General features: G+C 37.5%; 1 protein-coding gene across 2 annotated transcripts in view, besides 2 other annotated features; it reads right to left on the reverse strand.

Moving 5' to 3' along the window:
• The window catches only part of SECISBP2L (SECIS binding protein 2 like), a 57,809-nt gene that overhangs the window by 10,006 nt on the left and 21,044 nt on the right, over positions 1 to 26,759 (reverse strand). Inside the window, exons 8-16 of one of the 2 annotated variants that reach the window (NM_001193489.2) lie at positions 20,775 to 20,909; positions 18,905 to 18,985; positions 18,205 to 18,372; positions 17,917 to 18,058; positions 14,005 to 14,174; positions 13,088 to 13,220; positions 10,573 to 10,735; positions 2,234 to 2,454; positions 1,190 to 1,344 (exon numbers count right to left, since the gene is read on the reverse strand). In NM_001193489.2, coding sequence (NP_001180418.1) covers positions 1,190 to 1,344; positions 2,234 to 2,454; positions 10,573 to 10,735; positions 13,088 to 13,220; positions 14,005 to 14,174; positions 17,917 to 18,058; positions 18,205 to 18,372; positions 18,905 to 18,985; positions 20,775 to 20,909 — 1,368 coding nt within the window. The remainder of the gene's footprint in view (positions 1 to 1,189; positions 1,345 to 2,233; positions 2,455 to 10,572; positions 10,736 to 13,087; positions 13,221 to 14,004; positions 14,175 to 17,916; positions 18,059 to 18,204; positions 18,373 to 18,904; positions 18,986 to 20,774; positions 20,910 to 26,759) is intronic. The other variant, NM_014701.4, reaches the window with a different exon arrangement.
• Positions 24,595 to 24,795: a silencer, noted in NCBI's record as "peak2330 fragment used in MPRA reporter construct". NCBI's record gives its function as "represses an SCP1 promoter by STARR-seq MPRAs in K562 erythroleukemia cells {active_cell/tissue: K562}" and the evidence as "EXISTENCE:reporter gene assay evidence [ECO:0000049][PMID:32103011]".
• Positions 24,765 to 24,965: a silencer, noted in NCBI's record as "peak2331 fragment used in MPRA reporter construct". NCBI's record gives its function as "represses an SCP1 promoter by STARR-seq MPRAs in K562 erythroleukemia cells {active_cell/tissue: K562}" and the evidence as "EXISTENCE:reporter gene assay evidence [ECO:0000049][PMID:32103011]".

The following is a 26,759-nucleotide window of genomic DNA, read 5'->3' on the forward strand; positions in this document are numbered from 1 at the left end:
GGGTAAAGATTGGAAGCTTAATTCCAAGATTAGTTGTATCAGATGGTAACAGTAACAGGTGCACTACCATTCATTGTGAATAGACATACTTGATAATATACCAAGCTGGTCTGGAACTCCTGGCCTCAAGCACTCCTCCCACCTCAGCCTCCCGAGTTACTGGGCTAACAGGCATGAGCTACCAAGAAATTCTCACATACAGTCTAGCATAGTGGGCAGATATACATCTATCTCACAATATCATTCAACAAACATATATTGCCTGCTTATACTCAAGTAATGTGAAAGGTGTCAGGAATATAAAGACAAGGTAAGGGGCCTGTCACCAAGGAATTCACAGTTAAAGGGAAAGAAACATACGTAACCTACAGCAAGGCAGTGTGCTATGCTAAACGTGACAAAAGCACAGGCTATTGTGGGAGCACAAATATTATTTATATGCTCATAGAGCAGGTGGGTAGAGAATTTCATGGGTGGTGGGAAAGAAACAGAATGGACAGGGGAATGTAGGATATGCAAACATGGTGACTGGATAGACACATACACAAAAATAGTGTGGTTGGGAAAAGTAGTCTGTCATTGATATCACAAAGTACTTCAGAATCAACTTTGTTAAAAAACAGTCTTAAACACTACAGTTGATGAGCATTACTCTAAATTGATAACCATTACATTATCAGCTCCTATGATAAAGATCTATATTAGCAGATTGCCAAAGAGATGATGGTTGATAGTATCATGGGTACAATCATTGTGACAATTGGTTTAGAAATTTCATTTTCTAAAGGAAAATCCCTTCCAATTAAAGGATTCTTTTGTCTCCTGATTCCTAGTAGCACAAAATATACCCATCTAGAGACTGAAGAAATTACATTACGTAATATCAGATATCTTTAACCAGCAGTAAAATAAATTACCAAGTACTATGCAGTTGAGCCTGGAAGAAAAAAACCACTTTGGCAGAAATACGAACTAAAACCTTTTCAAAATGCTTTAGGATTAATCTACATAAATCTTTTCCACCACTAAAAAAGGAAATGTAATACTCAAAAAATTTCCATTTATTCTTTCAGGGTTGTCAACTCACTCCTTCAAATGCTTAAACATAACACTGGCATATGTCAATCGAAAAATGTGCTATCTGGGGGATGTGCTGGAGAGCAAGAGTGTGTGTCTTCTAAATTCTTACCTCAGCACCAAAGTAGTTGAAGATTCCCACTACGCTAACAGGAACCAGCTTGTTCACACAGCGTCCTAGAGCTTTCCTTCCAAGGGCAAACACAAAAGGAATTTCTTGTTCCCGTGCCATGGCTATAACATTATAGAGAGCCTCATCCAGACCACCTGAGAAAATCAACACATGCAGACGCCTTTAGTTGTTGCCTACATGGAGCTAATTGCACACCCGATAGCTAAAGCATAAAACATCGCAGCAAAGAATTCTATGAACACTTGTAGCACTTAACGCTGTTACACATTATCCTATTTAATTTTATACAATATATGGAAGTATATATGTATTTTCTTTCTCCCCTATTAAATTCCAAATTCCCTCAAATCCAGTATTTTTCTTTCTCCATAGGGATTAGCATAGCAGCAATCAAACTGCAATTCAACAAATATTTATAATAAAGAAATTAATTAAAATTGTCAATAGTGGCTGACTTGCAAATGTTTCAGCTCAAGAAAAGATCTCTCACAATGCAATGAGATCGATTACACATTACTGGTCTCACTGATATTCCTCGCCATGCATATGCCTACTACTACTACCTGCTTTGTCTACTACAGTCACCTAAAGTTGCCCATCGAAAAGGACAAATAAGGATGCATGATGTAGTTCAAAGTACTTGTGTGCTGGTTTGCCTAAGTGCCTCTAAATGAAACTGCTGGTTTCTCAGAGACAAATCACCACCATAAAATTTTAAAAGCAGAATATATTTGCCGAAGAAATGCATTCTGGCTAGACCTCCATCTGATCACAACAGAAGGGACAGTTGGTGGGCCAAACTGAAATCTTCCACTGGTGTTCATACATGAGGATTTTATTTACAATCCAGTCTCAATTCTACTACTTAATTTCAGGTATTGAAAGACTGCATTTTCTTTTCTCATGCTCCAATATTGTTTTATACCTAAACTCTGATGAGAAAGACATATGGCTTCTACTTTATATTCACTGTATATCCCACAGCTATACTATCAAAACACTTCAAAAGCAAAAAGCGCATACCTTTTGACTGGATTTTTTCACAGTTTGGAGAAATTATAACACACTTGATCTTGTTTAACTTCATATGTTTGGTAACTTCTCTTAGACCCATAACGAGTCGTCTCCTTGCTTTTGCTCTTACAGGATCTTTTTGGTAGATGCGTTCCTGGAAACTGACAAGCTCTTGGAGAAGAAGAGTCACACATTCATCAATCTCTTTACAAAGAACCTGATTACAATACCTGTAAAAAAAAACCAAAATGGGTAACTCCATCCTAATTTTTTTCCCTATAGTTATAAAACTGCATTAAGAAAATATCTCTAAGAGAAAATATATATGGTAAGAAGTTTTCATGAAAAGTCTCTTAAAGAAGTGTTTAAAACTTCTTAAATCCTTCAGTCATTTACAAAAACAGAAGAGTGATACAGATATTCCTTGTTTCTGCATTTCAAATAGATTTTTTTAAGTATTCAACAAATGCTTGCTTTTATTATGATACTGGTTTATCACTTTATCCCCATCACCTAGAAAAAGGCACATACTAAACACTCAAAAATATCTGATAAATTAACAAATATATTTGTTGTCTTCCACATCGTATTCTTTTTTTTTTTTTTCTTAATTATCCTTTAAGTTCTGGGATACAGGTGCAGAACATGCAGGTTTGTTACATAGGTATACACGTGTCATGGTGGTTTGCTGCACCCATCAACCCGTCATCTACATTAGGTATTTCTCCTAATGCTATCCCTCCCCTAGCCTCCCACCCCGACAGGCCCCGGTGTGTGATGTTCCCCTCCCTGTGTCCATGTGTTCTAACTGTTCAACTCCTACTTATGCGTGAAAACATGCAGTGTTTGGTTTTCTGTTCCTGTGTTAGTTTGCTGAGAATCATGGTTTCCAGCTTCATCCATGTCCCTGCAAAGAACATGAACTCATCCTTTTTTATGGCTATATAGTATTCCATGGTGTGTATGTGCCACATTTTCTTTATCCAGTCTATCATTGATGAGCATTTGGGTTGGTTCCAAGTCTTTGCTATTGTGAATAGTGCTGCAATAAACATATGTGTGCATGTCTCTTTATAGCAGCATGCTTTAGAATCCTTTGGGTATATACCCAGTAATGGGACTGCTGGGTCAAATGGTTCTGATTCTAGATCCTTGAGGAATCGACACACTGTCTTTCACAATGGTTGAACTAATTTACACTCACACCAAAAGTGTAAAAGCATTCCTATTTCTCCGCATCCTCTCCAGTGTCTCGTTTCCTGACTTTTTAATGATTGCTATTCTAACTGGCATGAGATGGTATCTCATTGTGGTTTTGATTTGCATTTCTCTAATGACCAGTGATGATGAGTTTTTCATACGTTTCTTGACCGCATAAACGTCTTCTTTTGAGAAGTATCTGCTCGTATCCTTCGCCCACTTTTTGATGGGGTTGTTTTTTCTTATAAATTTGTTTAAGTTCTTTGTAGATTCTGGATATTACCCCTTGGTCAGATGGATAGATTGCAAAAACTTTCTCCCATCGTATAGGTTGCCTATTCACTCTGACGATAGTTTCTTTTGCTGTGTAGAAGCTCTTCAGTTTAACTAGATCCCATCTGTCAATTTTGGCTTTTGTTGCCATTGCTTTTGGTGTTTTAGTCATGAACTCTTTGCCCCATGCCTATGTCCTGAATGGTATTGCCTAGGTTTTCTTCCAGGGTTTTTATGGTTTTAGGTTTTATGTTTTAAGCCATTAATTCATCTTGAGTTAATTTTTGTATAAGGTGTAAGAAAGGGGCCCCATTTCAGTTTTCTACATATGGCTAGCCAGTTTTCCCAACACCATTTATTAAATAAGGAATCCTTTCCCCATTGCTTGTTTTTGTCAGATTTGTCAAAGATCAGATGGTTGTAGATGTGTGGAGTTATTTCTGAGGCCTCTGGTCTCTTCCATCGGTCTATGTATCTGTTTTGGTACCAGTACCATGCTGTTTTGGTTACTGTAGCCTTGTAAAGTTTGAAGTCAGGTAGTGTAATGCCTCCAGCTTTGTTCTTTTTGCTTAGGATTGTCTTGGCTATATGGGCTCTTTTTTGGTTCCATATGAAGTTTAAAGTAGTTTTTTCTAATTCTGTGAAGAAAGTCAATGGTAGCTTGATGGGGATAGCACTGAATCTATAAATTACTTTGGGCAGTATGGCCATTTTCACAATATTGATTCTTCCTATCCGTGAGCATGGAATGTTTTTCAATTTGTTTGTGTCCTCTCTTATTTCCTTGAGCAGTGGTTTGTAATTCTCCTTGAAGAGTTCCTTCACATCCCTTGTAAGTTGGATTCCTAGGTATTTTATTCTCTTTGTGGCAATTGTGAATGGGAGTTCACTCATTATTTGGCTATTATTGGTGTGTAGGAATGCTTGTGATTTTTGCACATTGATTTTGTAGCCTGAGACTTTGCTGAAGTTGCTTATCAGCTTAAGGAGATTTGGGGATGAGACAATGGGGTTTTCAAAATATACAATCATGTCATCTGCAAACAGAGACAATTTGACTTCCTCTCTTTCTATTTGAATACCCTTTATTTCTTTCTCTTGCCTGATTGCCCTGGCCAGAACTTCCAACACTATGTTGAATAGGAGCAGTGAGAGAGGGCATCCTTGTCTTGTGCTGGTTTTCAAAGGGAATGCTTCCAGCTTTTGCCCATTCAGTATGATATTGGCTGTGGGTTTGTCATAAATAGCTCTTATTATTTTGAGATACACTCCATCAATACCTAGTTTATTGAGAGTTTTTAGCACGAAGGGCTGTTGAATTTTATCGAGGGCCTCTTCTGCATCTACTGAGATAATCATGTGAGTTTTATCATTGGATCTGTTTATGTGATGGATTACGTTTACTGATTGCCATATGGTAAACCAGCCTTGCATCCAAGAGATGAAGCCGACTTGATCGTGGTCGATAAGCTTTTTGATGTGCTGCTAAATTCGGTTTGCCAGTATTTTATTGAGGATTTCCGCATCGATGTTCATCAGGGATACTGGCCTGAAATTTTCTTTTTTTGTTGTGTCTCTGCCAGGTTTTGGTATCAGGATGATGCTGGCCTCATAAAATGAGTTAGGTAGGAGTCCCTCTTTTTCTATTGTTTGGAATAGTTTCAGAAGGAATGGTACCAGCTCCTCTTTGTAACTCTGGCAGAATTCGGCTGTGAATATGTCTGGTTCTAGGCTTTTTTTGGTTGGTAGGATATTAGTTACTGCCTCAATTTCAGAACTTGTTATTGCTCTATTCAGGGATTCGACTTCTTCCTGGTTTAGTCTTGGGAGGGTGTATGTGTCCAGGAATTTATCCATTTCTTCTAGATTTTCTTGTTTATTTGTATAGAGCTGTTTATAGTATTCTCTGATGGCAGTTTGTATTTCTGTGGGATCAGTTGTGATCTTCCCTTTATCATTTTTTATTGTGTCTATTTGATTCTTCTCTCTTTTCTATTAGTCTGGCTAGCAGTCTATTTTGTTAATCTTTTCAAAAAACCAGCTCCTAGATTCATTGACTGTTTGAAGGGTTTTTTGTGTCTCTATCTCCTTCAGTTCTGCTCTGATCTTAGTTATTTCTTGTCTTCTGCTAGCTTTTGAATGTGTTTGCTCTTGCTTCTCTAGTTCTTTTAATTGTGATGTAAGAGTGTTGATTTTAGATCTTTCCTACTTTCTCCTGTGGGCATTTTAGTGCTATAAATTTCCCTCTAAACACTGCTTTAGCTGTGTCCCAGAGATTCTAGTACGTTGTGTCTTTGTTCTCATTGGTTTCAAAGAACTTATTTATCTCTGCCTTAATTTCGTTATTTACCCAGTAGTCATTCAGGAACAGGTTGCTCAGTTTCCACGTAGTTGTGCAGTTTTGAGTGAGTTTATTAATCCTGAATTCTAATTTGATTGCACTTGTTTTGAGAGACTGTTTGTTACAATTTCCATTCTTCTGCATTTGCTGAGGAGTGTTTTACATCCAATTATGTGGTCAATTTTAGAATAAGTGCAATGTGGTGCTGAGAAGAATGTATATTCTGTGATTTGGGGTGGAGAGTTCTGTAGATGTCTAACAGGTCTGCTTCATCCAGAGCTGAGTTCAAGTCCTGAATATCCTTATTAATTTTCTGTCTCGTTGATGTCTAATATTGACAGTGGGGTGTTAAAGTCTCCCACTATTGGCTGGGCGCAGTGGCTCACGCCTGTAATCCCAGCACTTTGTGAGACTAAGGCAGGTGGATCACCTGAGGTCAGAACTTTGAGACCAGCCTGGCCAACATGGCGAAATCCTGTCTCTACTAAAAATACAAAAATTAGCCAGGCATGGTGGCACAGGCCTGTAGTCCCACCTACTCAGGAGGCTGAAGCAAGAGAATCACTTGAACTCAGGAGGTGGAGGTTGCAATAAGCCGAGATCGCGCCACTGCACTCCAGCCTGGGTGACAGACCCAGACTCCATCTCAAAAAAAAAGTCTCCCACTATTTTTGTGTAGGAGTCTAAGTCTCTCTGTAGGTCTCTAAGGACTTGCTTTATGAATCTGGGTGCTCTTGTATTGGGTGCATATACATTTGGGATAGTTACCTCATCTTGATGCATTGATCCCTTTACCATTATGTAATGCCCTTCTTTGTCTCTCTTGATCTTTGTTGGTTTAAAGTCTGTTTTATCAGAGACTAGAATTGCAACCCCTGCTTTTTTTTTTTTTTTTTTTTTTTTTTTTGCTTTCCATTTGCTTGGTAAATATTCCTCCATCCTTTTATTTTGAGCCTATGTGTGTCTTTGCACGTGAGATGGGTCTCCTGAATACAGGACACCAATGGGTCTTGACTCTTTATCCAATTTGACAGTCTGTGTCTTTTAATTGGGGCATTTAGCCCATTCACATTTACAATTAATATTGTTATGTGTGAATCTGATCCTGTCATTATGATGCTAGCTGGTTATTTTGCCCCTCAGTTGATGCAGTTTCTTCATAGTGTTGACGGTCTTTACAATTTGGTATGTTTTTGCAGTGGCTGGTACCGGTTTTTCCTTTCCATATTTAGTGCTTCCTTCAGGAGCTCTTGTAAGGCAGGCATGGTGGTGACAAAATCTCTCAGCATTTACTTGTCTGTATAGGATTTTATTTCTCCTTTGTTTATGAAGCTTAGTTTGGCTGAATTTGAAATTCTGGATTGAAAATTCTTCTAAGAACGTTGAATATTGGCCCCACTCTCTTCTGGCTTGTAGGGTTTCTGCAGAGAGACCCGCTGTTAGACTGATGGCCTTACCTTTCTGGGTAACCCGACCTTTCTCTCTGGCTGCCTTTAACATTTTTTCCTTCATTTCAACCTTGGTGAATCTGATGCTTTGTCTCTTGGGTTTGTTCTTCTCAAGGAGTATCTTTGTGGTGTTCTCTGTATTACCTGCATTTGAATGTTGGCCTGTCCTGCTAGGTTGGGGAAGTTCTCCTGGATAATATCCTGAAGAGTGTTTTCCAACTTGGTTCCATTCTCCTCGTCACTTTCAGGTACACCAATCTAACGTAGGTTTGGTCTTTTCATATAGACCCATATTTCTTGGAGGCTTTGTTCATTCCTTTTCATTATTTTTTCTCTAACCTTGTCTTCACGATTTATTTCATTAATTTGATCTTCAATCACTGATATCCTTTCTTCCGCTTGATCGATTCAGCTGTTGATACTTGTGTATGCTTCAGGAAGTTCTCGTGCTGTTTTTCAGCTCCATCAGGTAATTTATTATGTTATTCTTTAAACTGGTTATTCTAGTTAGCAATTCCTCTAACCTTTTTTCAAGGTTCTTAGCTTCCCTGCATTGAATTAGAACATACTCCTTTAGCTCGGAGGAGTTTGTTAACATTGAATTAGAACATACTCCTTTAGCTCGGAGGAGTTTGTTATTACCCACCTTCTGAAGCCTACTTCCGTCAATTTGTCAAACTCATTCTCCGTCTAGTTTTGTTCCCTTGCTGGCGAGGAGTTGTGATCCTTTGGAGGAGAAGAGGTATTCTGGTTTTTGCAATTTTCAGCCTTTTTGCGCTGGTTTTTCCTCATCTTCGTGGATTTATCTATCTTTGGTCTTTGATATTGGTGACCTTCGGTGGGGTTTTTGTGTGGACATCCTTTTTGTTGATGTTGATGCTATTCCTTTCTGTTTGCTAGTTTTCCTTCTAACAGTCAGGTCCCTCTGCTGCAGGTCTGCTGGAGTTTGCTGGAGGTCCACTCCAGACCCTTTTTGCCTGGGTATCACCAGCGGAGGCTACAGAACAGCAAAGATTCCTGCCTGTTCCTTCCTCTGGAGCTTCATCCCAGAGGGGTACCCACCAAATGCCAGTGGAGCTGCCCTGTATGAGGAGTCTGTCAACCCCTGCTGGGAGGTATCTCCTATTCAGGAGGCACAGGGGTCAGGGACCCACTTGAAGAGGCAGTCTGTCCCTTAGCAGAGCTTGAACGCTGTGCTGGGAGATCCACTGCTCCTTTCAGAGCCAGCAGACAGGAACATTTAACTCTGCTGAAGCTGCGTCCACAGCTGCCCCTTCCCCAAGATGCTCTGTCCCAGGCAGATGGGAGTTTTATCTGTAAGCCCGTGACCAGGGCTGCTGTCTTTCTTTCAGAGATGCCCTGCCCAGAGAGGAGGAATCTAAAGAGGCAGTCTGGCTACAGCAGCTTTGCCGAGCTCAATTCAGATAGATTTTATGTAAAGGATAAGTTAACCTAAGGTAAAGACTATCAGAATTACTAATTATTAAATTCCTAAGGATATAAACCAAATGACAACCTGCTATTAGATAAAAACAAACATAATGATTTTGGTAAAGAGTTACTGAAGATGCTTCTAGTAGGAAATATATACAATTTCTAACTGAATGTCCTATTACCAACAATTCCTCCTCTGGGCTTGGATAGATTTCTGGGCACTGGCTTTCTCAGTCATAAAAGTAAGGAGCTAGGTAAAATGGCCTCAAGAGTGCCTAGAGCTCCGAAAATTTATGGCTATGGAGGATGAACTCAATAATTAAACTGAAGCCAAAACCAAAGAGGTCATGAGGTAAAAATCACATGCCTTTACATCAGACAAAGCAAATGAGTAGGGCTCTCTGAGATTATGTATGACTATAGTGTGAGACACAGAAAGTCAGAAGCGTGAGGCCACTACAGTACCTAATTTCTGGGACAAAGAAGTCATCTAAGTATATACTTCTCCTGTATACTCTTTCCATCTTTTCTAGTAATCACCCCTCATGTCTACCATAAGCAGGTACTTAATAGGGAGAATTGGTGTTTCTTATCTATGAATAACCAAGGCAAGCAAATTTCTACTTTTATATTATGTAGTGGGAAAATCTGTGCCTGTTCTTCTTTAGTGCAAAAAAGTTTGCAGGGGAATTTTTTGTATTTCTGTCAAAAATAGTTAAATAAGTACAAGAATGACACTACTTCAGAAGAATATATATAAATGCAGAGATTGAGGAACATTTAACTGTCAAAGTGTGCCAAATTGAAGAATGCAATCAAAGACTAGAACATCCCAAAATGCAATTTTCTTCATTCTTTTTTTCCCTTTTTCCTTCAAGCTGTTCATTTCATACATATGTAACATTTTATCCCCCAAGTGTTTCATTTGCTCCACATCTGTGATTTGACATTTAATTAACTTTCCAAAGCTAGGCAGGAAGTATTTGCTCAAAAACAATGGTATAGGGAAAAGGAACAGAATAAACCAATGTAATTTGGACTCACATAGATTATACTTTCACCCTGGGATTCTTTCATATGTCATTTTTAAAGGTAAAATTAATTCATCAACATAAATGTTAAAATCTTAAAATCCTTCACAGCAATAACTGTTAAAGCTATTCACAGATGGGGTATCATATTCTGTGATCCCCCCAGTTATCTCAATTTAAGAACTTAGAAATACTTGCACAAATAGCTTTATGTAATAGGTTCACTTCATATAATAGGGTCTTAGAAACCTATTAATTGGTTAGAGTGATCTTTTGAAGGGCCAATAATATAAACAAAAAAGCAAAAGCATTTGTAGGAGGAAAACTGATAGTACAACATTTAATATATAAGATATTAAGAGTCTAGATTTCTAGAATAGAAATACTATCTGATATAAAGAGAATATACTTACTGTCAGATCACTCTCACGTGAATACTAACAGCTGACAGAAGGCAATGCTTTAAATAATAAACCCAGCTGTTAAACAAAATCCGAAAGGAGTTAAAGATCTCTGGTCTTTTGTCTGCTTGACTCACTGAGTAACAATGACAATACTAAATTCAGAACTACAATCAAGATCCTTAAACTATTCAACCTCAATAATGAGTATAAAACTTACTCTCTAAATCTTTTGCTGTGGATTTTGGTTATTGTTGAAGATGCCATTGGACTGCCTATTCCAGAACTAGCAGGAGAGCCTTGTGACACAGGTGTCATACAGTATGGAGAGTTCTGACTTGCTGGAGAGAGTGAAGTATCACTGGGCATGCTTAGTCCAGTATCTGTGGAGATGTGGAGTGAAGGGAAAAAATTTAGAAACTTCAAATGCTGAAAAGTTCTACGTTGATCAATGCAATTTAGAATGGCCATTGTCTTTTGGGTCATTTCCAAATTTTCCAGAAGCTAATAAGGTGGGCATTTTTCATATCACAAATAAACATGTTCCATACACTACAAAAATTAAATTCTCCTATTGTCTGTTGAAGTATATTCTTAGCCAGGTGAGGTGGTGCATGCCTGTGGTCCCAGCTACTCAGGAGGGTGAGGCGAGAAAATCGCTTGAATCTGGGAGTTTGAGGTCAGCCTGAGAAACGTTGTGAGACTTCCATCTCTTTAAAAAAAAAACATTCCCTCTCTCTCTCAAAAGTTAAGCATAGCCCAGAAGTCTCCACAGGGATGAGGAAGAATACACATTACCTAAAACATGTGTTCCCAGAGAATTTAAATTAAAGAGAAAAAATCTGCACCTCTTAGGCCGGGCATGGTGGCTCATGCCTGTAATCCCAGCACTTTGGGAGGCCAAGGCAGAAGATTACTTGAGGTCCAGGGTTCAAGACCAGTCTAGCCAACATGGTGAAACCCCATCTCTACTAAAAATACAAATAAATTAGCCGGGCGTGGTGGCACATGCCTGTAGTCCCAGCTACTCGGGAGGCTAAGGCAGGAGAATCGCTTGAACCCGGAGGTGGAGGTTGCAGTGAGCCAAGATGGCACTACTGCACTCCAGCCTGGGCAACAACAGAGGCAGACACACACACACACACACACACACACACACCCCTCTTGCCAGATCACATTACTCACTTCTTCATTTCTAGTTTTCCATCTATTTCTTAGAAATCTTTTTTTTTTTTAAACAATCTAAAACTTCCCATTATTGCTGGCAATGACAAATTCTACCTCACCCTCTCCACACCACTCCTGATTCTCCAGGTACCACCCCGGTCTCTCTCTTATTTGGTCTTTGCTTCTGTGTTCAAGAAGCCACATTATTAAATGCCATTTCTTGACTCTACTGTCTCCTTCGTTTAGTTATTGCCTCTTTCCTAAACAGCTAAACTCAGGAAATTAGTTTGTATTTGTATATCTAGTCCATTAATTAGCAAAGCTACACATGGTGTTTTTTTTTGGTTTTTTTGTTTGTTTGTTTTTGATACAGGGTCTCACTTTGTCATCCGGGCTGGAGTGCAGTGGCATGATCTCCACTCATTGCAGCCTCAACCTCCTGGGCTCAACCAATCCTCCCACTTCAGTCCCCCAAGTAGCTTGGACTATAAATATGAGCTACCATGCCCAGTTAATTCTTGTATTTTTTTGTAGAGACAGGGTTTTGCCTTGTTGTCCAGGCTGGTCTCAAACTCCTGAGCTCAAGTGATCTGCCCATCTTGGCTTACCAAAGTGTTGGGATTATAGGCGTGAGCCACTGCGCCCAGCCCACGTGTATCTTCTTACCTTCCTACTGGGCTGTAAGCTCTTCAACAGCAGGACCTGTCTACTATATATCTTTATTACATTCCCCAACGTCCTCCTGCCGCTCTAGTTACTAAAATACATGGGGTAAGCATTCAATAAACATTTGCTGAATGAATGGATGGATGATTACACCTAAAAACATGGGGAATCATTAAATTGAGAATAAAACAGAACCCTAAACAAACATGTCCCCAGTGAACAATCTTTAGAAATCAACTCATTTTTCTAAAAACAATGAAACATTGTTGCTTAATCTATGTGTAAACCAGATTTAAATGTGTTGCAAAAAGTTGGGCAATAAAGATATACTAGCAGAAAAATCTTTCTTTTATGGTGGTATAAATATTAGAAGAAATCTGCGGTTTTACTAAGTTACCAACTGGAATCATATGTGTTGCTACTTACTGTATGACACTGAATCTTATCGACCAACTAGATTCTGCTTTGCAATTGCATTCATTGTGACATATGTATTAATTCCATGAAAGCAAGAAAATCAACAAAAATGACTCAATGAAAAGTAGCCCTAAAAAGAAAGATAGCCAACAGTATTTTGGACGTAAAAGAAAACAAAATGAAAATACTTGTGACAATTCCAGAGATCCCATGCATTCGTGACATCTTAATTTTGAGAATTCACTACAAATTCAGGATTTAAGCCTCAAAAATGTCATAGGCCTACTATATAATACCTGTCCCCTTCTCTTTAACCATCTCCCTACAAAAGCATCTTTAAAAGAAACCACTCTGAAGAATAAAGAGATTTATGTAAAATATGGAGCACGTCTTCCAATCAGGAGCATTAACTAGTGATAGCTTACGTATCTATTAAAATATTTCAGACCATTCCATGAGAAGAGGAGAAAGGGGGAGCTCCTTACCTTCCTGGGAAACAATCTCCTGTGGCAAGTCATCAATAAAATCTAAGTGCATTTCTGTTGGTTCCTCGGATCCCAAAAGATTGTGGTCCACAGTTAAGCGCCCCTTCTTTTCCTCTCTTTCTTTTAAAATAACCTAAAAGTCATTACACTAGTCTTTAATTACAGATTACTCTTCAACTGTGTACAAATGATGACAATATACATTATAACACAGGTATGGTAGTTCACTTAAACATGAACATGAGAAGTTTGGCTAACTGGCAAAAAGGCAAATGTAATTTCAGACACTGTAAGTTGAAGGAAGTACTGCATACAAAATAAAGAAAAGCAATTATGTTATAGAATATACAGCTATCAAACCATATCTGATGCTTTAAATCCTAGGTGGCAAACTAGAGTTTCCAAAAAAAAAAAGGGTAAATTAAAAAGTTTGGAACCCAGGTCATACAGTTACATTTGATTGACATTCTACAGTTTTCAATTATTTGGACACGAATTATCTCATTTTGACCCTTTTAACAATAGTGAGTTAAATCAAATATGCTCCCCAATTTATAGATGAGAAAGATGAGAGTAAAATGGTTGCCTAAAATGATATGTGTAGCAAGCACTGAAGTTAATACTGAAATCCAGGGCTTCTGATTCCTGGAGTCTTAATGTTTTGGGATACTACATATTTATCTTTTTTTTAACCTTATAGAAATAATTCATTTTCCAGGGCCCCGTTCTACACAGAAAGATAGTCATGATACTGATGATATCCTGAGCTTCAAATTAACACATTATCGTCAAGATTCATGTGTATGAATACTTCTCACAACAATCTGTTGGCTAAGACACCACAACCTACTTTTACAAAACAGATTAAAATCCTTATTCATCCTATAAAATAAATATCCCACCAGATTTTGGTTTACCTTTTTAAGTGCTGTGGGTCGTTTTAGTTTTGCAATTTCCTTCTCTTTTCCTTTTTTTGCTTTAGAAGAAGCAATGTCCACAGAATTAAAGGATGTCAAACAGGGCTGACTTTTGGTTAAAGGTTTTCTATTAGTAGAGTCTTTAGTGTGAAAAGAAGCTGCAGTAACCACTAAAAACAAAGAGGAACATTAGTTTCACCATTAGGGCCAATCCCACATACTTTCAAAATTTCCAATAACTACAAAAACAAGAACATCCTCCTCCCATGGAAAAAACGACATCATAACAGTAGGAGCACTATACATGGCTAGGCAGTGTCCCTCAGATACAGCTTTTACCTATCCTTTAGAGACTAAGCCAATGCAATTAACCAATTTAGAAGTCCATTATAGGGGTAAATAATTAGTTCTACTCTCCTGTACAACCCTCAAACATGGCAATTCCTTGCAACTGGTCTTCAGTCAGAACCATTCTACCTTTGAAACTTCACAATGCTGCACCCCTTCTTATTCCTACTGAATCTGCTATTTGTCCTTATGTAAGATATCTTATCTATCACTTCTCTCCTTATTTCAGTTGGTCAGTAAAGAATGATGATTTTACCCACTCAGCTGCACTCAGCCTCACTCAGTAATTATTTTTATTTATTTATTTATTTATTTATTTTGAGATGGAGTCTACTCTGTCGCCCAAGCTGCAGTGCAGTGGCACGATCTCGGCTCACTGAAACCTCCACCTCCTGGGTTCAAGCAATTCTCCTGCCTCAGCCTCCCGAGTAGCTGGGATTACAGGCACGTGCCACCACGCCCAGCTAATTTTGGTATTTTTAGTAGAGACAGGGTTTCACCATGTTGGCCAGGATGGTCTCGATCTCTTGACCTTGTGATCCGCCCACGCTGGCCTCCCAAAGTGCTGGGATTACAGGCGTGAGCCACTACACCCGGCCTCAGTAATTCTTTTATGTCTGGTTGATACCCTCAGTTTCCACTGGCTTCTTCCAATCCTTTACTATACCTAAATCCCCAACCTCAATCCTCTCACTCTAGCAGAGCTTTCCTGCCACTTCCCTGAGAAGATGCTATCCAATATAAACTTACCAACCACCTGAAAGGAGGTGGCAGACATCCTTACTCCTGTCCAAGGCTCACCAACTGTCTTTATTCTTAATATCCCATCTCAGTTCCTCTAAGATCTAACTCTATTCCTATACCCTTGCATCTTTCGAGTTCCTCCCTGACCCTTGACTTTTTTCTTGATCCCCTAATAAGATGCTAGAATCTTCTATCTAAAAAAAAGAAAGGGTTTTTTAAAAAGGCACACCAACTAAACCCTTCCCTTCAAGCTAAGGTGCCATCATTCCCCTTTCCTTCCCTATTAAACTTCGAAACAGTTTTTCTCTCATTATCACTTTTCAAATCATTACAATTTGACCTCTGCCCAACCCATTCTCTTGAAACGTACTGTCAAGGTCACACATAATCTTGCAATTGCCAAATACAATTCTCTGACTCTTCACTCTACTCTAATTTTCTTCAGCATTTGGTACCAAGGACTACATCCTTTTCCTCAAAATTCTATCCTTGCCTTCTGTAACATTACACTCCTTTATTTTTCTTACTCTTTCTCAAATCTATGTTTCTTGTTCTTCTTCCTCTTATCCTTTAAATGTGAGCATTCCACAAGGCTTTGTCTGTGAACATCTTTTTCCTAATTTTTCTTTCCCCCAACAATCTGATTTCCACAACTTCAACAATCATCTGTATTTGAAACTCACTGACTTGTAACCTAAACTATACATTCATAACTATATGCTAAATAGGAACCACCAGAATCTCCCATGCTAGCATTTAAAATACAACAGGCAGCATCTGCTCTTCCCAACAAAATTCTTCTATAATCCCTATCTTGTGTAGTAACATCGCAGCCCTTATCACCACCACAGTCATTCAAGACAGAATCTGGAGTCATCACTGACCTGTTTCCAGATCCATCATTTCCCTATAATTCTTTTTCATCATGATCAGTCTCATCCTTTTCTTGAACATGTGTATATATGGGTGTATATATATTAAAAAGATATATAATTATATATAAAACAATATATAGTTATATAATTTATAGTAATTATATCATATTAACATTTAGCAACTGCTAAATGTTTGTTTATGTATATTAACAGTATATGTATAAATATATAAATGTATATATTTAGCAGTATATACTGTATATATAATATAGACATTATATATACTGTATATATGTACACATATAAACATATATATTAACAGTTGCTAAATTAATTGAAGTTGTAACAATAAGCCATCTGAAGTATCACAGGTTAACAATCTCGTCTCCATAATAATATTAAACATTTATTGAGTGATTATAACCCAGATACTCTATAAGCACTTTACATATATCATCTCATCTAATTCTCAAGACAATCCTGAAGTAGGTACTCTCATATTAATGTGAGGAAACTGAAGCACAGGAAGGTTAAGTAACTTGCCAATGAAACACATGGAAGAACAGGATTCAAACAAAGGCAACTTGATTCCAGGGCCCCTGCTTTTAGCTACTAGGGCATACCGCCTCCAGAACACTGCTAACTCTCAGTTTTATTCCCTATTTTTACTCTTAAGTGAGAGATTACTGCCACTCTGCCCATCTCAACATGCAACTCTAAAGCTTTATATACATTCAGTACTATTTGTAATAATAGTTATTACAAATAACTATTGTAATAACAGAGGTTGATAGTGGATTGGTAACTAGATAGGTTTAAACGTTTTGCACACAGGTTAAAATTATACACTGTAATTTATCTTTCTGTCTAATAAGTAATAGTCCCTTCACACAGGATCAGAAGAAACACAAAATTCAATTTTGCCTCTCAACATTGGTGCTGGTGCTGTACATTGGTACCTTTCCTGTTCCTTTGTTCTATTCCTCACCCTCTAAAAAAAGACTATGAAAAGAAATGAGGGAACACAGAAAAGCTGAGCTCTAAATCTGACAAGGTTTGTTAAAATAGAAATTACTGTTTCAGTAGAAAGCCAGATCATTTTCTCATATACACACACACACAATCTGATCAAAACCCTTGTATGCAACTGAGTTTTAAACTGGATAATTTAAGAGAGCCAGATTACTTGTGATTTTTTATTTCAATCTTTGAAAAAGAAAAAAATTTGGGTGAGTCAAAATGCATATCAACTGACATTTATGCAGAGATCTAAAGAACCTGAGGGAAGCAAACTATGCTGATACCTGGGGAAAGAGCATCCCAGGAAAAGGGAATAGCAAGCCCACAGATACTGAGCTAGGATCATGCTGGGTGTGTCTGAGGACTGCTAATGCAGCTAGAGCAGAGTGTGTTAGGAGAGAATGGTGACGAAGGCAAAAAGGTAATAGGGTCAGCTAAAATATGGCTTTAGTTAGGAGTCTGGCTTCATGCCAAGTGAAATGAAGCACTGTTAGAGGATTCTGAGCAGTGAAGTGATATAATCCAGCTTACATTTTAAAAAGGTCACTCCTTTTAACGCAGACAAGGGGTTGTGGGGAGGGAAAAGCAGGTAGTAGTAAGGAGGCTACTCAGTCTAGTATGATACAATAATGGGGGCTACTGTGGTGGCAGGAAATCTGGTGAGTAGTTAGAGTATGGATATGTTTTGCAGGCAGGACAGATAGGATGTGTTAAAGGACTAGGTGTGGAAAGGAGCATGGACAATTTCAAGGCTTGCGGTTTAAGCTGACTTAAAATACACACACACAAACACACATACATATATATACACACACACACACATATATATACACATACATATATAAAATTTTAAAAATTTCGATTAACAACATCTAACATATATTAGCAGAGACAAACAGCAAATTGCTCAGACTAATGATATCACCTGTATATGACAGAGGTCTGGTGTTAGTAATTTGCCGTGCTTTCATTGCTTGCTGTTGTTTTTCCAGAGCAGCTAACATGTCCCCTAAATCTAGCTGCACAGGTGTTTTATTCTTTTTTCCAGCTGCTTTTGATAAAGCTTCCTACAAAATAAATATAAAAAATTAATTTTTTTGTTATAGTACGAAACTGTGGCATTTTAAGATGACTACATTTATCACTCCTTCTATCTATTCCATCAAACCTAGCAAGTAAACTATCACATTTGTTCATAAAAATGAATATGTACCTGTAATTTTTTTTGCTCCATACTTATTTCTGAATACTCTTGAGCTGTGGCAAGGGCTGCTGCTAAAGCTTTCTTCTTCTGACTTTTTGCACGTTTGGGAACTGAGGTGGTAATAGGAATTGGAGTCTGAACTATATTGATTGGTGAGTTTTCAGGTAAATCATCCAACTATGATAACCAGAAAAAACACATTTGTTAGTGATCCCATAAAAGTCAATCATAAGGAAAAAGGATCCAGAATGTGGGATGTTCTGCAGTACAACCGGACTAGACTCTTCAAAGAATTCAATGTCATAAAGAACAGGATTTGACAGTGGGACCATTTCAGACTGGGAAATAATAAAGGGACAAAACAGCTTAATGCAGTGGGTGATGGCTGCCTGGATCCTTGAATGAAATAAAACAAAATACATCCAAAGTAAAATTTTGCAACAGTTGGGAAAATTTCAGTACAGACTGTATGTTGTATGATGATATCATTTAGTTAATGGTATTTTAGTAATAGAACTGTGGATTTCATAGGGTATTATCTTTGTTCAGGCTATGCTGGAAAAGAAATATTAAAGATAGGTACTAAACACCATCTCCTGCACACTCTGCTGCTCCATGTGCCTTTACACTTATCTTTAATATTTCCCTTCAACATAGCCATTGTTCAAAAGATGTTATATTTTGCTTTTCTTTTTAAAGAGTTACTTACTACTTTAGAAGAAAGTTTTTGTTGAATATTCTCATCCTTAGCATTTCCATTCTCATTTAGTTCTTGAAACCCATCTTCATCCTGAAATGTTTCACATTTTAAGTAAAAAGAGTTCAAGGCAAACTCCTAAACTTTTTATAATGCTTAGAAGTATTGAAAAATGAGGAAGTTATTTCTTGTATTCTATTACTGAATTATTCAAAGTCGGTCTTAAAGAGGAAATGTCATTTCTCACATGCTAAAATATAAACAATTTAATTATTCAAGGATGGGGGCGTATCCACACATGTCCAGTTTTTGGATTTCTGCACCTACTATTTCATTTTTATTAATAATTCTACCTTCAGATGGGTGGGTAATTGAAAAGAAATTCAAACTGGGTTTTATCACATTCAGATAATTTGAGAAAGTGTTTAACAGACAGCTTCATGTAAACTTTATTAATATACTCCTTGTTCTGCATTACTCCACACAATTGTCAATAAGGTTAAAAACATCTTTTCCATTGAAATTAATTTATTAATATCTTCCTTTTTCCTGAAAATTATATCTAATGTCTTTAAATATAAGTATAGAACCAATAGTACAGTTGAGTACATGTACTACAATTGCCAGACCTGGATATATTGAAACTATTCTTGAGAAAATAATTGAGATATACTCTCAAGTCCTTTGGCTCAATTACTAAACTTATCTAACATATTATTGATTTTTTTTTTTTTTTTTGAGATGGAGTTTCACTATTGTTGCCCAGGATAGAGTGCAATGGCACAATCTCGGCTCACTGCAACCTCCACCTCCTGGGTTCAAGCAATTCTCCTGCCTCAGCCTCCCAGTTAGCTGGGATTACAGGGACCCGCCACCATGCCCAGTTAACTTTTTGTATTTTTAGTAGAGATGGGGTTTCACCACGTTGGCCAGGCTGGTCTCGAACTCCTGACCTCAAGTGATCCTGACCTCAGGTGATCTGCTTGGCCTCCCAAAGTGCTGGGATTACAGGCATTAGCCACCACGCCCAGCATATTATTGATTTCTATCCTCTGACCTCAAGCAAGTTTTCCAGTTTAACCTCCCATCTATTAACTCATTCAATAGAATTTATGATCCAACCAAAATGAGTTACTCAAATGAGTTACCGGAGATGTGTGGTGAAAAACATCTTGACACATACAAATTCTACTTGTTTTTTAAATTCATTTCAAATGTTACCTACCCTGCCACAAACCCAAAGTGACCTGTCTCTGCGCTCAACTCTAACCACACTCAACTAAGTATTAGGTGTGTATATGCCTATGTTCTTCTACTACACAGCAACTTTCCCAAAGATAGCAGGTCTATTCACCTTAATGTATCATTCAGAGCACCTTACTGCACACATATACTAGACCACCAGTAAGAATCTGTTAGATGAATAACAGTGCAATTAGGATATGAACTGTCTATCAGAGAAAGTAAAACATTTTTCTTCCTTCTCTAAAATTCTCCTGGCTGGCAGCACAACTTAACTAGACTGAACTACTCAAATCTGAAAAGCCTTTCAAATGGATTGAATAACAACAAAAATTAAGTGAAAAAGCTCCATACTAAATAAAGTCCACATGAAATCAAGTTCTACCTCTATACATTACCCCCTAAATGATGAACACACAGGACAAAAATTTATAAAAATAAACATCAGTAAAATTAATGTTAGATTAAATATATATAACCAAGACAAAAATGAGTTAATACTTCTGAGTAATTTATAATTTAATACTAGAATCACATGTTAAGACATAAAAAGTACTCACAATGTTCACAATGTAACAAATTAATTTCTTAATGGGAACATTTCCTATAACAGCTTACAAATAGAGTTTGAAAAAAATACCTCAAAATATAAAGACTCAGAATTTGGATCGCTTCTATGGGATTGACTAGAGCTTAAATGCTTATTATCTGGTCTCTTTTGCAAATTCTGTCTTCTTTCTGAGGAAGTACTGTGTCCTCGGCATCTGAATCCAACCTAAGTAAACCCCAGAGGGGAAAAAAAATCTAATTATTTTTAAATAAATGTTTCACTCAAATATATAACATACTGGCAGAAAAGTACACGCAAGTGTACAACTCAATAAATTTTCACCAAGTGCATCACTTATTTTAAAGATCAAGTTTCTGACAAGTAAGGTACTTATAAGAAAAATAGAAAAATGAGACAATTAATCCACATTGCTTTTTTCCCCTCGACATGAATATTTATTAGCAGCTTTATTCACAAAAGTGAAAACAGGAAACAAACCAGATGTTCTACAGTGGGTGAACAGTTAAACTAACTGTGGCATATCCAGATCATAGTATAGAAGTCTGTATCAACCACAAAAAGGAATAAACTACAGTATTGATAAACTCAACAACCAGAGAACCATGGAAGTGAAAAAGGCCAATCCCAAAAAGACTGTATGAAGGCATACAAAATTATTGAAACAACAAAATTAGAAAGGGAGAATAGATCAGTGGATTCTAGGGGATAAGGAGCAGTTGGTGTGGCTATGAAAGCCAACAGGAGGGTCCTTGTGATGATGGATCTGTTCTGCATCTTGACTGTATCGAGGCCAATATCTGGGTGTGATATTGCACTATAGTTTTGCAAGATGTTACCACAGGGGGGAAACTGCATATTACTTGCTTATTTTTTTTAGAGACGTGATCTTGCTCTGTTGCCCAGGCTGGAGTGCAGTGGCTTGATCATAGCTCACTACAGCCTGAACACCTAGGCTCGAGTGATTCTCTTGCCTCAGCCTCCCAAGTAGCTGGGACTACAAGCACATGCCACCACACCCAGCTAATTGTTTTATTTGTATTTTTGTAGAGACAGGGGTCTCGCTATGTTGCCCAGGCTGGTCTCAAACTGCTGACTTCAAGCAATCTTCCCACCTTGGCCTCTCAAAGTACTGAGATTAAGGCATGAGTCACATGCCTGGCTTTTTACATTACTTTTTCAGTTAGGATCTTACTCTGTCACCCAGGCAGGAGTGCAGTAGTGTGATCACAGCTCACTGCAGCCTCAACCTCCTGGGCACAAGTGATTCTTTCACCTCAGCCTCCCAAACAACTAGGACCACAGGTGTGCACCACCACACCCAGCTAATTTTTTTTATTTTCTGTAGAAGCAGGGTCTACCTATATTGTCCAGGCTGGTCTGCAACTCCTGGGCTCAAGGGATCCTCCTGCCTCGCCTCCCAAAGTGCTGGGATTACAGGCATGATTCACCGTGCCCAGCTACTCTTTAATTTAACTACTGTAAGTCTTCTGATACTTGCAGTTTATTTTTTTATAAAATAGATAAAACAATTAGGAGAATAATTTAATACAAATCTTGTTTCCAAGATTTAAGAGAATAAGCTTTTATTAAATCACATAAATTAGTATTATCATTGTATGTTATGGACTAAAATGTTTCCATCTCCTAAAATTCATGTATTAAAATCCCAATACGCCCTCCGCCCACGAGACGGTATTTGAAAGTGCGGCCTTTGGGAGGTGATTAAGTTATGAGGGCAGAGCCATCACAAATGGGATTAGTGACCTCATATAAGAAACCCCAGAGACGCCTTCACCCCTTCTACCACATAAGGACAAAGCTAGAAGACAGCCACCTATGAACCACAAAGCAGGCCCTTACCAGACATCGAATTTGCCAGTGCCTTGGACTTCCCACCCTCCAGAACTGAGAGAAATAAACTTCTGTTGTTTATAAGTCACTGAGTCTATAGCATTATCTTATAGCAGCCAAAACAGACCAAAAAATCCCATTAACGAATATGCAAAATGTTCAACTGTCATATGGGCAAGAAAAAAAACATTAAGCATTCTAAGACTCTTAAGACATTTCAAGTTACCTCTCTTAAGTACCAAATGCAGCTAACAGTAAATGCCTCTCTTAACCAGGACACTTAAAATATATGAAAAGTATAATCTTTAGTAACAGCTACTCCAAAATTCTAACAACTGCGAATTGGAAGCAGACCTGGAGAGAAGGTGCTGGTACACAGGCCTTGGATTCTGAAGTCAAACAGATGCACACAAAGACCTGGAACCACCTGAATTCTCACGCTTGCTGTTGTAAACCAGAATTAGTATATATGTATTAACGGTGTTACAAACGGTAAAACAATTTCCTTTAAAAACAAACGCAACCTGATTCTTACACTTCGAGACATAAAGCACCAGGATTAAATTAAAACCCCCAAACTAATGGTCCCAACAAAGTTCATGTGAGCCAAATGTGCAAGTACTCCAATAAACTCATGAATGAATCAATAACCTCAGGACGTCGAAATACTTTTTGTCAGCTCTTCTAAGAAAGAGTTTTGTTGATAGAAAGAGGGTATACTGAACAAAACAAAGCAGAAGCTACGGCTTTGAATATATATTAAGATTCTTAAATGAGTAGCACAAAATTAATTTAAAAATTTTAAAGTTTTCATACCCCATTTACAATAAAAAGGAAAAAAATATTAGAAATTGCCACTAAGAATATGTACAAACTTATTTAAAGAAAACTTTACAACACTTCCATTTATTTGATTGATTGACTAACTGCTTAACTGAGACAGGGTCTCATTCTGTCACCCAGGCTGGAGTGCAGTGGCGCCATCATAGCTCACTGTAACCTCAAACTCCTGGGCTCAAGCGCTCCTCCCACCTCAGCCTCCCAAGTAGCTAGGACTATGGGTGCATGCCACCATGCCTGCCTTACACCACTTCTAAAGAACACAAAAAAACGATTCAAGCCAGGTGCGGTGGCTCATGCCTGTAATCCCAGCACTTTGGGAGGCTGAAGCGGATGGATCGCTTGAGGTCAGGAGTTCGAGACCAGTCTGGCCAACATGGTGAAACCTGGTCTCTACTGAAATACAAAAATTAGCCACGTGTGGTAGCAGGCACCTGTAATCTCAGCTACTTGGGAGGAGGCTGAGGCAGGAGAATCATTTGAACCCAGGAGGAGGAGGTTGCAGTGAGCTGAGATTGTGCCACTGTACTCCAGCCTGGGCAACAGAGCAAGACTCCGTCTCAAAAAAAAGATTCAAAAATAGGAAGACATACTGTTTTTGCATAGAAAGGTGACACATCATAAAGGTAGCTGATTCTCTCTAAGTTTACAGATTAATTTAAACACCAATGGAACAGAATAGAAAGTCCAGAAATGGATTCCAATATATTTGGGAATTTAATAAGTGATAAAGGTAATTAAAGTCAGTGAAGAAGAGATCAACTTTTCAACAAATGCTGCTGGAAGATTTTAAAAAGTCACTTTGAAATTACAAAGTAGGATCATATCTCACATCATATACCAAGAAAAACTCCAAATGGAATAAAGATTTAAATGTAAAAAGCAAGGCCATGAATACACTAGAGGAAAAAACAAGCAAATTCCTTTACAGCTTTAGAGCAGGGGCAAAGCTCTTCCAATTATGATTTAAAACCCTTTAGAAGCCATCAAAAAAAAAAGGACCAATAAAGTCAATTTATAAATATAAACTTCTTAATGTTATTTTAAAAATAAACTGTGCATGGCAATAATCATGATAATAATGAGCAAAGTAAAAAATAAAAAGGAAAACCTAGCAAAATATTTGCAACTTGTATTACATATTAAATACTCCAAGTAACTTCAGGAATTTGATAAAAACTTGATCAAACTGATTTTAAAATGTACCCCAAAAAAGAAAGAAATAGATCAAGATTCAAAAAATGAGCAAAGGATAGGACCAGGTAAGTTCACAGGAAAAGAAGTAAATACAAATGCTCCTTAAACACATGGAAGAATGATCAACTACATTAAGACATAATTTTTATCTAACTGGCATACACCCCAAATCCTGAAAACGCACTATATCTGAAGCCGTATGAAACTAGGCACTTTCCACATTGTTGCTGAGGATGCAAACTGATACAATCTGGTGATATTTACCAAAACAACAGATGAATTTACCTTCTGACTCAGCAGTCCCTAACTAGAAACTGATTCTATACATACACATTTCTAAATGACACAGCAGCATGTCTATAACAGCAACAGTTTGCAAACAACTCAAGTGTCCACTGGTAAGACTACAGAAATCAACAAGATTATATCCACACAATATTACGAGTTGTCTAAAAGGAAAAAGTGTGGAAGCCCTTTATGTAGTAATATGGAAATTATGAAAATGTCTCCAAGATACACTGTTAAGTGAGCAAAGCAGAGAACAGAGTAGATATGCTCTTTTATGTAAAGAAAGAACAAAAATAAGATATATACTTCTATTTACTTATAATGAAGTGAAAAAACTCTGGAAGACAAGAAATTACTCAAAGTGGGAGAGGTATGGGGGAGAGGAGAAGTCAAGGAGAAGCAGAGGTGAAATGAGACTTTTACATTGTATATAATCTTTTTTTAAAAATCTCTTTTACTTTTCAACCTATTCCATAAAATAAAGCCGTTTTAAAAGATTTCAAGTTTTTGGATTCTTTCCATCATTTAAAATTAGACCTATACCAGACTAAAGAAATGATCTATATTACCCAATGTTAAAACACCAGAAGAATGTTTAAAACTCCTGTAATTAAACAGCATGGTATAGGTGCAAAAATATGATAAACTGAACAAAACAAGTAGCCCCAAAATAACATATAAGAAATCAGTAGGCTGGGTGCCATGGCTCACCCCTGTAATCCCAATACTTTGGGAGGCCGAGGTGGGTGGATCACGAGGTCAGGAGTTTGAGACCAGCCTGGCCAACATAGTGAAACCCTGTTTCTACTAAAAATACAAAAATTACCCACATGTGGTGGCGGGCACCTGTAATCCCAGCTACTCAGGAGGCTGAGGCAGGACAATCACTTGAACCCGGGAGGCGGAGGTTGCAGTGAGCTAAGATCGTGCCACTGCATTCCAGCCTGGGCAACAAGAGCAAGACTCTGTCTCAAAAAAAAAAAAAAAAAAGAAAGAAATCACCAAATCACTAAAATGGAAACACAAACCAGGGAAAGAATGTTAGGATAACTGGTTAACTACTTTGAAAATTTTGTTTTACCATGGATCAAAATAAATCTCAGATAAAAATGCCCTGAAATATTATATTATAAAAAGTAGCAGAACATACAGGTCAATATTTATTTGATTTCTAAAAGATGTTTAGAGCCTAAAAACAATCAGAAATTGCAAATAGGGAAAAACATTTTGACTTAAAAAGACTCTGCATCTCAAAAATCAAACAAATCAAAAATCAAACAAATACACTTAAGTAAAGTACAAGGATAACAAAGCATCAGAAGTAGAAAGCAAATACATTGTCAAACATGTGGCTCCAGTTCTTTGGTGCCATATATATTTGCAAAGTTTTCTTTTTTGTTCTTTTAACATTCCTCATCAAGTTTTGAGAAAGAGATAAAATGTTTTTCATCTCAGTATTATTTCCTCTCTAGTGAGCTACTGATACCAAAACCAATAGTACTGAAACTGTAAACATGGGTAGGACTAGCAATTACAGTCTCAACAGAAAATTTCAGCCCGTATGTAAATATTAGGTAGAATTCATTTATCTAATCTACATAAATGATTCCCCTTTTAGCTCTTTTGTTTTTAATCAAATGAAGTTAGACTGCCTCACAAGCTTGCCATAAATGATTTATTTTTGCAATAACCACATGGAAGAGTGAATTATTTTTTTTTGACAGCCTAATTAATGTTAAGGTACATATGAAGTACAGGTTGAGTTATTCCTTATCTGAAATGCTTGGGACCAGAAGTGTTTTGAATTTCAGACTTTTTCAGATTCTGGAATATCTGCATATACATACTGAGGTACCTTGGGGATGGGATCCAAGACTA

The sequence above is a fragment of the Homo sapiens genome, chromosome 15, assembly GCF_000001405.40.
Source record: "Homo sapiens chromosome 15, GRCh38.p14 Primary Assembly".
NCBI lineage: Eukaryota > Metazoa > Chordata > Mammalia > Primates > Hominidae > Homo > Homo sapiens.